The sequence below is a fragment of the Homo sapiens genome, chromosome 20 (genome assembly GCF_000001405.40).
Source record: "Homo sapiens chromosome 20, GRCh38.p14 Primary Assembly".
Taxonomy (NCBI): Eukaryota; Metazoa; Chordata; class Mammalia; order Primates; family Hominidae; genus Homo; species Homo sapiens.
The window spans coordinates 45,088,567-45,106,871 of NC_000020.11; the positions used below are offsets into that span (position 1 = coordinate 45,088,567).

Below are 18,305 nucleotides of genomic sequence, written 5' to 3' on the forward strand. Positions count from 1 at the left end.
CGTCCCAAGCATAGTGTTTCTTGTGATTAGGTACATCTGAAGCCTGTTAGTAACAATATGAACCTGTGATCAGTTAAGCAGCTGACCAATCATTACCTCCTCCTCCCTGCTCTTGTTACCCAATAAATAGGAAGGACTGTGGAAGCTTGGGGGCTGCCTTTGCTCACTAGAAGCGGGGAGCTCTCTTCTTCTTCCCCGGCCCCTTCCTTTAAAATAGTTTCTTTTGTCTTAAGTTTTCATTTCTATGTTCGTCCCTTCATTCAGTCTTGTAATGACGGTCTCAGGCAGTAACAGTAGTAAGCTGTCGTAATGATGGTCTCAAGTAGTAACCGTGGCACACTGCCACAGTGTAGGGCCCTAAAAAGTTAAAGGCAACCCACTAAAGTCTTACTTGATTTGTTTAACCAGCAAAACATAAGAAACAAAGCAAAATGGAAACCAAAAACACCCTCTAGTTCTGGCAAAAAAAAAAAAAGTCACGACTTGAGCCACTGTGTAACACTGGGCTTGCGTTTATTGATCTAAAGCCCTTTGATTGAAGGATATGCTACTCACCTTTGAGGAAGGACTCTGCTATATTGCATGAGTGTAATGTGAATATTTCTCTTGCCTTCTCCAAAAGGATCTGTGGCCATTTCCCAAGGTAAATGGATACTGGGGAAAGGGAAATACACCATTCAGGGAACCTTGATGAAGACTTCGAGCTAATACCAGTTTCTTGGGTTCAAGAGTACCACTGTAGGTCCATCTATCATGTGAAAAAGTGTTTTGGCTTTTGTCCATGCCACTGGAGGCCTAATGGAATTCCAAAACTATTCTATATCAGCAGTTTCGGAGAGATAGTTGGAAAAGATCCCCATATTGGCTCTCTGACCCATGAAGTGAGGGCCATTGTGATATAAAAGGCCAATAGAATACAACTGAACAACTGTTTCAAAATAGAAAAGTCAACGATAGTAACATATCTTTAGGGGAGGCTGCAGAGATTAGTGTTTCTACCAAAGACCTTGCAGGCTGATGACTCCAATCAAAACACCATTAATTTCCTCTGGTAGGTGCAAAATTAGATGGGTCTTGGAAAATGACAGTGGATTACTTTAGTCAGGTGATAATTCCATTTTTAACTGTTGTGTTAGATATATGCTCATCATTACAGTCCCTGGAGTCATGCATCTACTAGTTTCACTCTCTACTCTGAGGAACAGAAACCACTGGAAGCATTTTGCTATTACCTAGAAGGGATAAGAGTTTTCATTTACTGTTCTAACTCAGGCATACCTCTGTTCTCCAGCTCTGTAACAGGAAGGCCTTGATTCCCCGAATATCCCTATTCTAAAAGACAGCAAACTAATTTTGACTAAATCAGTTGACTAAATCACATTAACAGGGCCTGGAGAGCACAAAGGAGCAGACACTTCAGCTCTGTAGGTAAGACACACCTTTTACAAGGTGGGAGATAAATCCAGTGCATCTCAGTGAAGTTTCTTAGAGTGTCCAGTACCCTGGACATATGTGTAGTACTTCTATCACCACAAAAGAAGTACAGTGTTAATTTGGATTTTGTTGCTTCTACCGCTATCAGATCCTGGCTTGCTACTGGGCTTTGATGGTGAATGAAGGCCTAACTATGGGATATCAGGTAATCTGATGACCCAACGTGACAAACTACGATATCATCCATCCAGATAGAAAGTCAAGCATGCCTAGTAAGGACTCCATCATCAAGTGTATCCATGGGTACATGGGATTTGGCTCACGTAGACCCTAATGATGTAAGTTGATTGCATGAGAAGTTTGCTTTCAATCAAGTTGCATGTTTTCTGATTAAACCCAATGACCCACTTGCAAATCTATTGCTTCCTATCCTATGACTCTGAGCTCTGCTGACTTAAGAGATTTTGGTACCCAAGGGAAGAATACTTCTTTGGTACTCAAGGAAGAATACCCTGAATCGGAGACTGAGCCTGTCACCTGGACTTTCGGAGCTTTTCTTTTCCCTATGTGTGTATAAAGGGAGTTACAGTCTTGATTAGGGTAATCAACCACCCTGTCAAGGGGAAATATGGTTACTGCTACACAAAGTAGGCAGAAAGGAATGCAAGTAACTCCATGGAATTCCTTGGGGAATCTTCACATGCCAGCAGGACTAACAAGTGCTCAGATTCGCTAGGAATAAAGGTTTAGGTTACCCCATCAAAAAAAGAATCCCAACCAACTAAAGTGCTGGCCAAAGGCAGGGGGCATGACATGGCTCACAGAGAAGGGATGTTATAAATGCCAGCAGCAGCCTTATGACCATTACAGAAATGAAGACATAGCAATGGCCTCTTTTCCTCCTTGCTGTGTTTTTCTTTTCCTTTCCTCTAGTATCATATAGGGTATGCTGGTGGCAGTTACATTTACCATTTATTCCTTATATTACAGGATATTGAGACAGAATTAGTGGTACCAGTGGAAGAATGAACTTATAGCTGGATTCATGAACAGGATATGCCCCATAGGGTGTCTTTCCTTTGGGGAGATCGGTATATGTTGGTTATATATAAGAGAGTTTCCTTATGTTAGAAACATGCATAAATCGTGTGTATGGGAAAAGGATGGGAGTGTATGGTATGCTATTTTTGCTTATCAATAACTTTTGCCTTTCTTTTGGTGACAATAGGTGGTCTTTTATTTGGGTAAGTACCTTTCCTCCAACTGCCGCAAATACTAATACGGTACCTTGCCCTCCATCCCTCCCAAGAGAGAGGCATATGACTCAAGTGAAATCAGACTCTCTCCTGGGATTGGAACTGTGAGCAGGATGATACAGGGAAGGAAGTTGACTGGAGGCAGATCATGTGGGTAGCAGTGTCTTAAACAGAAGGTTCATGAGTCTTGCTACTGAGGTCCCTAGAGCTCCCCTCATTCCTGTATTTCCTGAGGCCTCGTCAGTCAGCTCTTCCTTTGGTCGGGTGAATTTCACAGATACCCTTCTGTAGTGGGCCAGATGGTGGCCCCAAACACCTGTCCATATTTTAATCTCTGGAACCCGTAACTATTACCTTATTTGGGAAAGGGTCTTTTTGCAAATGTGGTTAAGTTAAGGATCCTGAGATGAGGTCATCTTGGATTATCCTGGTGGGCCTAAATGTCATCAAAAGTGTCCTTGTAAGACAGAGGCACTGGAAGACTTGACATACACAGACACTGAAGTGAGATCAGAGGCAGAGACTTGAGTGATGCAGCCACAGCCAAGGAAAGCCAAGAATGGTGGCAGCCACCACAAACTAGAAGAGAAAAGGAGAGGGTTTCCCCCTGGAGTCTCCAGAGGGAGGGTGGCCCTGCTGACATCTTGATTTTGGATTTCTGGCCTCCAGAACTGTCAGAGAATACACTTCTACTGTTTTAAGCCATCAAGTTTGTTTGAATTTGTTACAGCAGCTGCTGGAAACTAATATATCTTCCAATAAATTCATTTTTTGCTTGATGTCAGTTTGTTGCTTATACCCTCAAACTCTAATTGTTAACAGTCATTCATCACTTTAATTATTTTATAAATTACCCTTTTTGACCAAGTTTGTTCCAACTGAATTCCTGTCACTTGCAACCTGTTCTGGCTGGCACAACCACAAAGTTTGTGCCAAATCCAGGACTGGAGCCTGAGAATGTGGATTCCAAGTCATTCCACATATTGCCCACCCTCTCCAATCACTCAGACAGCATGTCAGGGAGCCATCTCCATACAAGCAGAAACACGTCCTGGGGCCCAGCTCTTTATTTGCATAATGGTTTTCACTGATACATGGGAAGGGGAGCGAGTTGTTGCTTTTCTGCCAGGACCACAAACAGCCTCATGGTAGGCTCAGGCCAGATGATTCCCTCTTGAGCTTTCTCCACATCAGTATTAGGGACCTGTTTGTAGGGTCAGAAAATATGGAAGCCGTCGGGTTTCTTGGTGTGTTCTGCAAGACCATAAGGGTGCTACACGCAGCCCTTCTGATCTGCCCCTAACCTGGGTTCAGCTGGGCCTAGATGTAAGGAGCAGAGTGTGCAGAAGGGCTGGTATGTGTGTGGTGAATTCAAGGGAGGCCCTTTGCTGCTTAGCTCCATCCTCTGTTCCAATCTGGAGACCCAGAATCCATGCGTATGTAGGGGGCCCACTATGTACTAGGCCCTGTGTATGACACACACCTTCACACATGCCATTCTCTCTGCTTGGAGTACTCCCCCCTGGAACCTCATTTGCTTAATTAGCAATTTATCATTTGGATGGCAGGTTAGATTGTCACTTGCTCAGGAAAGCCTTCTCACTTTCTCGGGCCATGGTCCCTGATACATTATACACACCTGTACTTAGTAGAGCTCGCTATATTTATGTGATTATTGCATTAGAGTCTATCTTCCCTACTAGTCGGTAAGCTTCATGAGTATAGGGATATATTTTTCCACCACTGTATCTCTTGAGACTAGTAAGCAGCCCATAAGTCAGAAGCCAGTATATCAGAGTGGCTGGGCATAACACAACGGCATGTGTGTCTGTTTGTGGGTGGCAGCGGGGGAGACACTATGGGGAACCTGAGAGTGCATGCCTCACGCAAAGGCATTCAGATTCTTAAAATATAATAAAAACACTGTTGGACTAAGCCGAAACATGACTGCAGGCCACACATGAAGCCCCAGTTTAAGACTCTTCCAACGGGTATTTGTTGAGTGAGTGAGTGAAGAACCTACAAGGAATATATTGTAAAAACTTCAAGAACCAAGCAGGGACAGGGCAGGCGGAGCTGAACGGACCTCCTTTTCAGTCTTGTTCACACCTTTTTGAGGGCCAGGTCTCTCTCTGGCTATCTTTTTTTCCCCCTCTGAGCTTGGCACCCAGTGGGCTGTAGGAATTGGTTGATCTATTCAACATTTACCAAATACCTACTCTGCACCAAGCCCAGAGTTCAAGCAGACAATGTCTTCCATCTTGAGGCTCAGGGTGATGGGACAGAGATAGCCACAGTCAGACAACAACAGCACAGTGCTGGGTGCTGTAGCCACAGTATGTGGAAAGGGCTACTGGATCCCCTCCTCTGACTTTCTCAGCAAGTGAAGAGAAGATTCAGCAGGTGGGTATGAGAGATATGCCCCCAGCAAGGGTGAGGGGGCTGGAGCTGGCCAGAAGGGAGAGGACTCTCACACATGGGCCTGGATGGGTACTCTAGGTAGGGCTGGACAATGTAGGGCTGGACGTCTGTGTGATGGGCAGAAAGGAACTGCCAAGGTCAGACTGTTGGGGGAGGGTCTTAGAAGCCAGTATTCATATATGTCAGCCCTCTGAACATTTCAGAGCTGAGCTGGCTTTAAGTTAGAGACCCCTCTGCTCTCCTTGGCTTTCATTGCCCTCTGGGTCACAGATTCTGACCATTTGACAGAGGGGCTGGAATCTGGACTTGGGGGCAGGGATTGGACCACTTTACACAGCAGGTCTTGGCGCAGCTAGGTTGTCTAGATCTCAGGCCAGGGGCCCTTCAGATTTTCTTTCTCTCACATCAGCCCTGGGAGGAAGGTCGGAAGATTATTGCTTAGCAAATCTTGCATACCAGCTAAAGAGGCAAGTACAATGCTATGGTACTTCCTCCCAGGACTCATCCTCCTTCCCTCCAGGACTCATCTTTGATTGCTGACTCCTGTTGGATGCTCCTAGAAAGGAACCACAGCTGAGATCCAGAGCTCCTATATCCAAATCTCCTGTCTGGACCCTTCCCTGGCTCTGAAAGGGATTTCTTATCTTGTGGATCAACTCTGGGGATCCATGAATCACCAAAAAACACACGCAAACTTCATGAGGGCAGAAGAAAGATGGAGTTGATGGAGCATTGCTCCAGGCACACCAACAAGCCCAGATTCCAAACCTGACTCTGCCACTTCTAATTGTGACATCTGGGAGAGGCATCGCTCATCTCTTAGCCTTGGTTTCCTCATCTGTGAAGTGGGGATAATTCTCTTTCTCCAACACAAGGCCAAACATGACCTGGTTCATGTACAGGAGGTGCTCAGGAATCATTAGTATCCTTTCAACTTCCTCCCTCTGGCTCATGCCTGCTTCATGAATGGCTTGGAGGCAGGTTTATAAAGCTTTCTGAGTTGCTTGCAGAATCTCACAGAATCTAGGGTAGCACTGTCCTGTCCTGGGCCTTTGGAGGAAGGAATGCAGCTTTTGAATCTCATTTCTCAGGACAGCATGAGTGATCCTGGGAGGCTCACTACCATGAAGAACTTTAGCAGGGGAGGAATCTCTACTGTAGGGGCATGGCAGGGGGTCACGGATCCCTGGTTTTAATACATCTGAGGGTGTGGAGGCTCACTGGGGGCCTGGCTCTCTAGATCTGCAGACTGTCCCTCCTGAGAGGTTTCTCGGGATGTCTCCAGAGATGCCTCCGACACCCCATCAATGCTGCTCAGCAAGTCCTCAAACTCTTGGTGGTTGCTGTTGCGCACGGCTGCCTCCAGAGCCTTCTGGCGCCGGTAGAAGTGGGAGAACTTGTTGAAGATGATGGTGATGGGGAGTGCTACCACCAGGATGCCCCCTAGGATGCAGCCTGAGGCTGCCAGCTTGCCAGCCACCGTCACTGGCACCACATCCCCATAGCCCACGGTGGTCATGCTCACTGTGCCCCACCACCAGCAGGCTGGGATGGTGTTAAAGCCCACGTCCTCCTCCTTTTCAGCTGTGTAGGCCACACCAGAGAACACTGACACACCCACAGCCAGGTACAGCAGCAAGATGCCCACCTCACGGTAGCTGTGCTGAAAGAGAATGTAGAAAGCCAAGTCAGAGTGGATGGGCTTACAGTCCTGGTATTAGGCATATGGGGAAACTGAGGCCCAGAGAGTATAAAGGACAGGTCCAAAGTCAGCAAGATAGAGCTGGTGCTAAGGCCCAGGTCCCCTGACTTTAAACTAAGACCTTTCAACTACAGTTGGCAGCAAAACCCCCTGGTATTGCGCACAGGCCTAAGTTCTATTGTCCAAGGTATCTGCTAGGCTACAGCTGTTTTTTCCAACTCCGGGGTTACTGGTGGCACCACAGCCAGGGAATGAAGAGCTTGTGATTTTTACACTGTTGCAGAACCAAGAGAACCATAGTTTATATTCCACAATGCAAAGAGTTGGTTTCATGTACTTTTGACTGGTCTGAAAAGTATAAAAATATTTTTTGCTCCTCCAGGAAGCTGAGAGGACATAAGTCCCCTGGACCACCCACAGAATTCACTTTCCTATGGCTGTGTATGTTTGCTTTGTCCCTGAGGCCAAGCTCTAGGGCAGTGATTCTCAAACAGGGTGGTTTTGCCCACCACCTCCCCGCCTCCACCCCGCAAGGGACATTTGGGAACGTCTAGAGACATTTTTGGTTGTTGCAACTGGGACAGGTGTGCTACTGCCCTCTAGTGGGTAAAGGCCAGGGATACTGCTAAACATCCTAAAATGTACAGGGCAGCTCCCACATCAAAGAATTACCTGGTCCCAAATGTCAGTAATGCGAGGCTGAGAACCCCTAGTCTAAAGCAGAGTCTCTCCAACTTTAATGCGTGCAGGAATCATGCAGGGGTCTTGGCAGAACGCAATCGCATAGTCTTGGGTAGAGCCAGAGAATCTACATGTCTAGAAAGCTTCCAAGTGATGAGAAAGCTGCTGGTGGTCAGGGGCCTCACTTTGAGTAGCAAGGCTCTCATCTGGAGTATATTACACCTGCATCTTAGACCCTGGCAGCTCTGATTAGTAATACTCTTCTCCCCTACTGAAGACAAAGCTAGTAGTGTCAGGCCCTGGCTCTCTGCATGGAGGGGACAGGGCAGCGTTCTGGGGCACAGGGATCTTCCCTGGGGAGATGCTGAGCTCAGGGGGTCTGCTGAATGTAATTCCTTATACCTGCCCACTGCCCTAGGATTCTGCCTAGGTCATCTGCCAGCACCCAGTATCCTGAGGGCATACAAGAGGCTTTACTAAGCCATGGGTGGAAGGGATCTTTCTTTTAGCATTGTCTGGGGATTATCAGTAGGGTCGCATGGAGCTTTAGGAGAAAGAACATGAGGTGCTGGAGCCAGGCACAGGTGGGTTCTTCTCTGGGTTCTACTGCTTATTGAGGAACCTCCAACAAGCACTGTCACCTCTGGGAGCCTCAGTTTCCACCTCTGCAAAGCAGTGACAATAACCCTTACCTCTGTTTAAACCTCTCACGAGCTCTCCTATACCCTCGGGACCAAGTCCAAAATCATGTGCCAAGACTTCATGACCCTTCGGTGCCCTGCCCCGCTCGACTCTTCAATTTCATCTCTGGGAATCTCCTTCCCTCCATGTCCTCCTCCCAGCATTCATCCTGTTCTCTCTCCAGGCCTCGGCACACGCCGTTCGCCTTGCCTCCCTCTTCAAACCATGCTAATTTCACCCCCCTTGAGTGCAAGCTTGCCAGGGCAGTGATTCACCCACAATGCAGCACCTGGCACAAGGAGGATGCTCAGTAAACTGCAACCAGGCTTTACAGAGCCAACCCTTCAACCTCAGCTTCTTCATCTACGGGAAGAGAATAAATAATAGCATCTTCCTGAGGAAGTTCTCCTAAGGACTAAATTGATAATGGATGTGAAATTGGCACAGATTTAGTGCTCAGTAAGTGTTAGCTCCTGGGGCTATTCCTAGACTTTACCTATTAAGAGTGACCTATGGTTATCAGAGCCCCCTGATAGTGCCAGAAGAAAGGCTCTAGCAGAAAGCCAGTTAGCATCCTGCTTTGCGCATCTTTGTGATATATATAATTTGATGTTTGATAGATATATCAAAAGTGATCTTTGTCTTTTTTCTTCGTTTTGAAAAAGAAAGACAAGCAAAGCTATGCCCCAGTTTTCTCCCCAGGAAAAAGAGATAACGGTAAGCCCTTCTTCACAGGGCTGTTGGGATAGTCACACTGCATGTGAAACGTACACCTGGTGTGCAGCCCTGTGCCTGGCACAAAGGACGGCATCTCAGTTGAACGTTAAGCCTGGACTCGGCAGGCTTGTAAGTTCACCTGCTAACCTGCCGGATGGCTACACCCGCCCACCCCAGCTCCAACCTGGCCTCAGAGGCCGTACCTTGAGCGTGGCTCCCAGCGAGCGCAGCCCGGTGGAATGGCGCGCCAACTTGAGTACGCGGAAGATGCGCATGAGGCGGAACACCTGCACCACCTTGCCCAGGTGGCCGAACTCCTTGCCGCCCTGGTCGCCCAGTGCCACACCAGCCAGCAGCGTGAGATAGAAGGGCAGCACAGACACAATGTCGATGAGGTTGAGCGGGTGGCAGAAGAAGTTGCGCGTACTGGGCGCCAGCAGGAGGCGCGACGACACCTCGAAGCTGAACCAGGCGATGCAGAAGTACTCGAGGCGTCGCAGCACCGGGTCGTCGCGCACGCCTTCCGGGCTGCGGCCCGCGGCCACCGCAGCCACGGCGGCCGCCGCCTCGCGGGCCTGGTACTCGGGCAGGCTGTGGATGCACATGGCGGCGATGGAGGCGAGCACCACGCTGATGGAGACGCAGCTGAAGAGCTTGCTCGGCAGCGAGTAGCCCGGGTTCTCCATGGTCAGCCAGAGGCGGCGGCGCAGGCGGCCACAGCGCGCCGCGCCATAGCGCGCCAGTTCTCGCTGCACGTCGGAGATCTCGTCGGGGCACGGGTCCACGCTGCTCGGCGTGTCGCTGTCCTCGTCCCAGGCGTGCGGCTGGGTCAGCCGCCTCTCCAGGTAGCGCGCGCGGCAGCACGCGGCAAGCGCGTTCTCGCCTAGGCCCCAGTAGTCGGCCTCCTGGCCAAAGGCGAAGACGCACAGCTCGTCGAGCACGTGCAGGTGGCCAGTGCGGTAGAAGTGCAGCAGGCTCAGGAAGAAGCCCGGGTGCCGGTCGAAGTAGAATTCGCGCGCCGCCTCGTCGTAGTCGTCGCACAGGCGCCGCGCCTGCTCCTCCGACGCCGCGGCCTGCAGGCGGCCCAGCCGCGTGCCCGGGAAGCGCGCCAGGGCGCGCGCGCTCAGCTGCCGCCGCACGCCACCCACGTTCACGCGCAGCGCCTCGTCGCTTCGCCGCCAGCGGATCCCGGTGTCGGGGCCCGGGAACTCGCTCACAAAGGTTTCAGTGCTCCTCCCTGCGGACACCAGAAGGGCGCGCTGAGGAGTTCCCGGGCTTCCCTTCCTGGAAGACCAGGTTAAAATCCCCTCCTCCATCCAACCAGCCAAGGGGTGTTGGAGGCTGTGTGTGAAGCATCTGGTATGCAGGAGGCGCTCAGTAGATGTCAGGTGCCCTCTGGACTCAGAGTCAGGCCTGGCTTTGACTATCCTTCATCCCCATCATTTGACTTTGGCCAAATCACTGACCCACCCCACCCCCATTTCATTTTTCTCCTTTGGAAAGTAAATGCTGAGATCTACCTGGAAGGATATGAAAGCGATGGAATCGCAGGATGTCCTGGCACCTAGTGGGTGCTCACATAGGATGTCTCCTTTTCCAGGACAAACTTGGATTTATTTACACCAAAGGTCTACTGTGGGATCTTGGGCCCGCCAGCCCTCTGAACCTGTTTCTTCTGCAAAATGAGGATAGTAACACTTACCTCCTAGGGGTGTTGGCAGCACCACTTTAGACCGGAGGTTCTCATAGTGTGTTCCCCGGACCAGCAGCATCAGCATCACCTGGGAATTTGTCAAAGATGCAAATTCTCAGCCTGCCATCGATTTACTGAATCGGGAACTCTAAGGGTGGGGTCTAGCACTTTGTGTTCTAACAAGATTGGAAAGTGATTCGGCTACATAGTCAAGTTTGAGAGCTCCTGCTTTAGATTATGTAAAGCATCTGTAGAGTCAGCCAGACCTGACCTTGAATCTTGACTCTCTTGTGTCACCTTAGGCAAGTAACATCACCTCTCTGAGCCTCTGTGAAATGGAAATAAAAATATTCACCTCAAAGTGTGGTTATGAAGATTAAATGACCTAGTGTCTTTCTTGGGCTTGGCTCACAGAAGGAATTTAATAAATTATTCACTGGTGTCACTATCTTCTGGAGTCAGGCAAACCTGGGTTTATCTCCACCCCTGACGCACCTGGGGCCTTGAGGAAGCTATTTGTCCTCCAGGTCTCAATTTCCTGCACAACGTAGATAATAGCACCTACCTCCAGGGATGACTGGAGGATTAAGGTAGATTATAGAAAGTGCTCAGCCTTAGTGGATACTCAGGAAGGATTTAGGTTCTTCCACTACCCACTGACTCCTGACTCTGCTGGAATTGGGGGCTAGTGACACCTCCTCACCACTGGCAATCTCATTTGCACTGTGGGTTCAGTAATGCCTAGACTAGGGATTAAGTGTGTGTAAAGCACCTGGGCTTGGCATTAAATGGATTTGGGGTTCCACCCTTAGCTCTATCACTTGTGTGACCTCAGGCCAGTCTCCTTCCCACTCTGGGCTTTAGCTCTTTTACCTCTAGAATGGGGATAATGTTGCTTTGGATGCATCATTATTGTGGTATATGTCAAAGCCCTGGGAAAACAGTAGATGCTCAATAAATGTTAATCCTGTGTACTTCCCTGTGGTCAGACCTGAGTCTACCACTTACTAGCTGCTGTCCTTGAGTGCATTCGTCGCCCTCTCTGGGCTTGTTTCCCTGTCTGTGGAACCGGGTAGCATCATACTTTCCAGGAGAGGCTCAGAGAATTAAATGATGCAAGGTGTTTATCGGCAGCATGGTCCCTGGCACATAATCAATGCACAATAAACGTGTGATGTAGCTCCGCTCCCACCTCCACTTGGATCTCCACCTGCATTTGGCATCAAAAAATGAAATTTCTAATCCAGTTCCATCACCCATTAGAAGCATAATATTGGGCAAATCCCTTCATCCATCAGGAGCTCACTTTCCTGCTCTATGAAACAGGATAATTAATTCAACAAACATTTTCTGACAAGAACCTGAATATCAGTAAGAAAGACCAAGTGACTTGTTCAAAATCACCCAGCTAGTCCATGGCACAGCTAAGGTTGGAGACCAGGTTTTTTTATTTCATTCTCTCTCCACACACTTATTTTGAGCACCTCCTATCTGCTAGTCACTCCTCTGGGCTCCATGCACACCTCACTCGGTTTAATCCCTACACCAACCCTGCCAGGGAGGTTTTCTAATCCCATTTTACAGATGAGCAAACTGTACCAGCCAGGGTCTCCAAAGCGCGGCCACCCCACACTGCTTCCTCCTTGGCGGGGGGTGGGGGGTCTCTTAGAGGGGGTAAGAGCACCAGGAGCCCCAGGCAGCCCCGCCTCCCACTCTGGCTGCCCGGGACCGTCCCGGAGCCACGTCCCTCCCCAAAGGAGGCCCCTTACCTGTGGTGGCACCTCCCGGGCGCCTCGCGTGTCTGTCCCAAAGCCACCGAGGCTGGGAGCCGCTGGCTATACTCGGTCTCGCCTCTGCCCCGCCGGCCCCGCCGAGCCTCCTGCTGCAGGCGGCCCCGCTGCCCTCTCCTTCCTTCTTCCTTGCCTAGTCCCCCGCGGCTGAAGGCCGCATCGATCGCTGCCGGAGGAGGGAGTGAGGCCGCTGGCGGCCGGAGGCGGCGGTTTCTATTCCTGACTCGGCTGGGGGGTGGTGGTGTCTGGAGACTGGGCCTACCTGCAGGGGCATCCTCCGGAGTTACGGGCCGGGAAGGAGGGGTCATTTAGGGCGTGAGGATTCCCCGTAGAGAGGGATTTCAGCAGAAGCTTCTCTGGCAAAGGAACAACAGTAATCATGATTTACTTAATTGAGTGTTTAGTATGTGCCAGGGTACTTCAGCTGCTGCAAGTGATTGATCTCAGTTATTCCTGGCACACACACTTGACAGGGCCAGGATCTTATGTCGCCCATTTTAGGGGTGAGCTCCAGTCATTTTCTCAGACCGTGGGCATCTGAGTTAGGGAGCTGTAGAAGGTGGCCTCATCTCCCTTGGAGCCCCAGGTTCTTCCTAGGTGAGTTGTGAAGCTTGAAACGATCATTTTACCCCTGAGGCGCAGTGTCCTTACCTGCCCACGGGTTCCTGATTCCCACCTGCCAAGTGGGTTGTGAGGGCAGAGAACATGTGCCAAAGAGCTTTGTAGAGGTTGTGAAATCCCCACACATGTACCTGTTGTGTGGCTGCTGTGTGCCTGGTTGGGGAGAGGCTCCTGGAGACTAGGGCCTGGATATGAGCCTTTGCACATATTGTTATTAATAATAATGATAATTACCAACGTTTATTGAGTACTTACCTTGGGTCAAGCACAGACCTCAATCTCACTCAAACTGCAAATTTATCTGTGGGGTAAGTGCTACTATTATTCCTATCTCACAGATAAGAACTGCTTTGAGAGGTGTGGTGACTTGCCGGAGGTCCCATGGCTGACTTCTGAGTCCTCTAGGCCAGCACAGTCCAACACCTATAATGTGAGCCACATATATAATTTTATTTTATTTTATTTTTGATTTTTTGAGATAGAGTCTCACTCACTCTGTTGCAGGCTGGAGTGCAGTGGCACAATCTTGGCTCACTGCAACCTCCGCCTCCTGGGTTCAAGCGATTCTCCTGCCTCAGCCTCCTGAGTAGCTGGGATTACAGGCATGCACCACCATGCCCAGCTAATTTTTGTATTTTTAGTACAGAAGGGGTTTCACCATGTTGGCCAGGCTGGTCTTGAACTCCTGGCCTCAAATGATCCACCTGCCTTGGCCTCACAAAATGCTGAGATTACAGGCATGAGCCACCGCGTCCGGCCCACATATGTCCTTTTACATTTCTGATTGCAACATTTTAAAGAAGTAAAAAACAGGCGAAATTACAGTTACCCCTTAAACAGTGGGGGTTAGGGAAACCACTCCTCCATGCCTAGAAAATTAGAATATAACTTTTGACTCCCCTGAAACTTAACTAGTAATAACTTACTGTTCGCCAGAAACCTTACCAATAATATAAACAGTCGATTGACACATAAATAGTATCTACATATATCTTAGGCATTCACGACATATCTAACTTATTCTTAAGGCTTTTGATATTTCTAGTCTACATGGTTCATCTGTAAGTTTTTTCAAATTGTCACAAATCTCCAAAAATTTTCCAATGTATTTATTGGAAAAAAATCTGCATGTAAGTGGACACTAGCAGTTCAAACTCGTGTTGTTTCAGGATCAACTGTATTTTTAGTGATATATTTTATTAAATCTAAAATATTATGATTTCAACATTGGAATCAGTAAAGAAATTATTGAGATATTTTACATTTTCTTTTTTTTGTACTAAGTCTCTAAAATCCAGTACTAATTTTTCTTATTGCTACATAACAAATTACCACAATTTAGTAGCTTAAAACAATACAAATTTATGATCTCATGGTTTCTGTAGGTCAGAAGTCTGGGCATGGCCTGGCTGGACCCTCAGGGTCTCACCAGGTTGAAGCCAAGGTGTTGGCCAGGGTTGAGGTTCTCATGTGAGCTTCAGAGTTTTCTTCCAAGCTCACAGATTGTTGGCAGAATTCATTTCCTTGTGGTTATAGGACTGAGGTCTCTCTTTTCCTGTTAGCTGTCTCCGAGGGATCAATCTCAGATTCTAGAAGCTGCCCCATAGGCAGTTCATAGCATGAATGCTTGCTTTCTTTCAGGGACATCAGAGTGCTGAATTCCTCTCCTGTAACCAGCCAGAGAAAAATCTCTGGCTTTAAAACTCTCACCTGATTAGTCCAGGCCCACCCAGGGCACTCTCCCTTCTGCCATATAATATACATTCACGGGTTCCACCTACACTTAAAGAGGAGGAGATTATACAGGGATGAGGATCATTGAGGAGGGGTCATCTGAATTCTGCCTCCCATATATAAATCTAGTGTACTAATTTATTTTATTTTTTATTTTTTGAGAGAGATTTTTTGAGATTTATCTATAGCATATCTCAGTTTGGACTAGTCACATTTTATGTGCTCGGTAGCCACACATGGCTCGTGGCTGCCATATTAGACAGCACAGCCCTAGGCTGTGCCACTTTAGTTTTTCCCTCGAAAGAAGAAGTTAGAGCAGGAAGCTGCTTAGTGAGCATCTTGCCCAATTCCCTCATTTGACCAACAGGGAAACTGAGGCAGATTTGCCGAGAAGCAGGTCTTCTGTTTCCTGGCCTAAGAGTTTGTCTGCAGCCTTTGCTACCCCTCAGGACTCAGGAGTTTTCCCTGGAGCTGCAGAGACGGTTTCCAAAATTGAGAGAAAAGACAGACCTATTTCCCAAAGGCAGAAGAGAATGAAACCAGGATCTGGTTTCATCCCCAGATTACACAGTGAGAGGTAAATGAAGTTTTGGTGGAATCTGTGAGCCACAAGAGTGGGAAGGTGGGCCTTATGGGTGGGAAGGACGGGGCATCCCTGTCCTTCATGTACCATGGATGGTCTGTCCCCCAAATTCTCCCTCAGTCCCTGACCAGGTTTAGTCATTGGAATCCATGGGGTTTTACCTTCAGAGTAAGCTTGATTTTGCAGAAAATACAGAAAATTTTGGAATTAAGTAGACCTGGATGTGACGGGCATCTTCTAAGATGTCTCCCAGTGATGTCGGCCTCCTGGTGTTCATGCCCTTGTGCAATCCCCTCCCCTTGTGTGTGGACAGGCCTTACTGAGCTGCTTCTAATGAACAGAATATGGCAAAAGTGATGGGATGTCACTTCTCTGATTAGGTTACTTAAGGTTGTGACTTCCAGCTGGCTTTGATGAAACAAGTTGCCAGGCGGGAAAGGTAAGAAAATGAGGAGGACTTCCAGCCAACAACCAGCCAGGAGCTGCGGTATTCACTTCATTAGTCCTCAAGGAACTGACATTCCGCCAACAACCCTGTGAATTTGAAAGTGGATCCTTCTCTAATTGAGGCTCAGATGAGACTCCCACCATGGCCGACCCCTCGAGTGCAGTCTCGTGAAGCAGAGAAACTGAAGCAGAAGACCCAGTTAAACTGTGCCCGTGTTCTTGACCCATAGAAACTGTGAGATAATACATGTGTGTTGCTTTAAGCTGCTGCATTTGTGAAACCTTGTTACACAGCAATAGATAATGAATACACTGGGTTCGAATCCTGCCTTTGCCACTAAACTGGTGTGTGACCTTGGGCCAAGCACTTCTCTTGGATCTTTATCTTCCTCATCTGTAAAATGGGAACAACACCTACCTTTCAGGATTGAGATGAGGACCAGCACATGCTGTTCCCTCTCCATGAACAACTCCTCCTGCCCTTTCTTTACCCTGCATATCAGTTAGAATTTAACTTAGCTGCGGGAACAGAAACGGAATTACAGTGACTTCACTAGAGAAGAGTTTACTTTTTTTTTTTTTGGCAGGCCAGGGTAGGTACAGCTGCTCATGAATAGCCCTGAAGACCCAGGCTCCTTGTCACTTCCTCCTCCACCATTCTTATGTGACTCATTCGTGCCCACAGCTCCTCTGGGATCCTTTACCGCTTTTGTGCACACAGGCTCCTGGTATGTTTTTCCTCCTGACAGCTGGTATCTGGGGCTTTCCTGAGGCTGCCAGAGCCTGCTATGGCTCCGCACAGGGAGAACCTGAAGTACCTGAGAATGTATGTGCTCCATCTATAGAAACATTTCTTGTTTCTAGAACTGCCCTGTGGGACTTCACTGGATTTCACATCCTCACTGGCTTCTTCTCTTCCTGGTGAACTTCTGTACTCCTATAGCCATTTTTCCTGGAAACATTTCCAAAGCATCACTGTCATATGATTCTTCATCTCAAGATTTATTCTGGGGGAACCCAACTAAGACAATCCTCAAGGACACCAGATGGCTGTTCTAGTGGCAGCAGCCATGTTCCAGGAAGGACACAGGGTAAATGGATGACAGACAAAAGGCCAAGTCTATCTCCTTAGTTAGGAAAACTATAGCTTGCCATGTAGCCCCGCCTAGTAGATTTTTCTTACTTCTGATTGGCCAGTCTTGGGTCACGTGATCATTGTTTGGTGCAAGGGAGCCTGGAGAGGAAACATATTTTTAAAATTTTAATTTACCTTTAAAATTGAAATATACTGTTCCTATGGTAAAGTGCACAACAGCTGAATGATTTTTTTGTAAATAAATGTATGTATCCATTGTAACTACCACCCAGGACAAAATATGGAATGTCACTGGCACTCCAAGAGCCTGGGGGTGGGGTGGGGCAAATATTTCTAACCAGGGACACTGCTATTGGTAAGGAAGAAGGGGAGAATGGATAATTACAAGTGTTCTACTTGGCTAGCTCCTGCTAAAACTCAAGGTCTTGACCTAGATATCATCTTCAGGAAGACTTGCCTGGTTTCTAGGCTGAGTTAGGTCTCTCCTGGCCTCCCATAGCCTCCCAGACCTCTCTAGTCTGGTATATGTCATGCAACTCTCTAGCTAGGGCTTTGTCTCATCCACTAGTGCATGAGTTCTGCGAAGCACAGCCTAAAGCCTATATTAAGTGCTCAGCAAACATTTATTGAATAAGTGAGGGAGGAAAGCAAGGTTAGAGTCTGCAAAAGGAACCAGCCTCCTAGGAGACTTTCCAGAAAGGCAGAGGAGACAGGCAGTACAGATAGAGCTGACTGGGTTGGAGCTGAACTCAGAGATGGCACTGCATAGACCAGCTCACAGAACTGCTGGAACAGGGAGTGAGTTAGCCAGGAAGCTGAGCAGGGAATCTAGAATGGACTGTGTAGATGCTGCTACCTATAGCCAGAGAAGCCATGGTCTGTGACCTGTCACCTCTTGCCATTCCAAGGACCTAGCTCAGAACTCAGAGCTCCAGGATAGTCACAGGGCTCTTGACAGCCAAGTCTTAACTGGCTTAACTGGGAGCTTCCTGCTGTGACCCCCTAATTTTCCTCCTGATGCCTTTGAGGAAAGAAACCTAGGGCAATAAGCTGTGTATCAACAGGCTTGGGTTCCAGTTGTCTAGAATTAAGTCTGGTCACTTAACCTTCTTAGGTCTTTGTGATCTTCATTTTTCAGATATGGACACTGAATCTTCAAATGGGAGGAATCTTAAGTGGGAGAAATCTTCAAAGACCGATTGTAATTAATTAGAGTAGTCAATAGGGATGTAAAGTTTATGGTTAGACTGCTTGGGGTTGAATCCCAGCTCTAGTACTTACAAGTTGGACAACTTTGGCCAAATTAACCTCTTTGTGCTTCAGTTTCCTCATGTGTGAAATGGGGAAAAGTAATGAAGCCTACCCGATAAGGATATGAGGATTTCATGAGATTATACAAGATTATACATGTAAAGTGATTAAAATGATACCTGGTCCATGGCACATGAT

The 18,305-nt window shown here is 48.1% G+C and overlaps 1 protein-coding gene across 2 annotated transcripts; it reads right to left on the reverse strand.

Moving 5' to 3' along the window:
* Positions 1-2,647: 2,647 nt before the first annotated feature.
* KCNS1 (potassium voltage-gated channel modifier subfamily S member 1) lies at positions 2,648-12,561 on the reverse strand. Of its 2 annotated transcripts, NM_002251.5 has the most exons (5): positions 12,355-12,561; positions 11,594-11,795; positions 10,595-10,673; positions 9,096-10,129; positions 2,648-6,774 (listed from the first exon to the last, which is right to left on the reverse strand). In NM_002251.5, exons 3-5 carry the CDS (start codon positions 10,668-10,670, stop codon positions 6,304-6,306), a joined length of 1,581 nt encoding a protein of 526 aa, NP_002242.2. In that variant the 5' UTR covers positions 10,671-10,673; positions 11,594-11,795; positions 12,355-12,561; the 3' UTR covers positions 2,648-6,303. The 2 variants fall into 2 exon arrangements, with proteins under 2 accessions (NP_002242.2, NP_001309728.1); NM_001322799.2 differs by lacking the exon at positions 11,594-11,795.
* Positions 12,562-18,305: the final 5,744 nt, after the last annotated feature.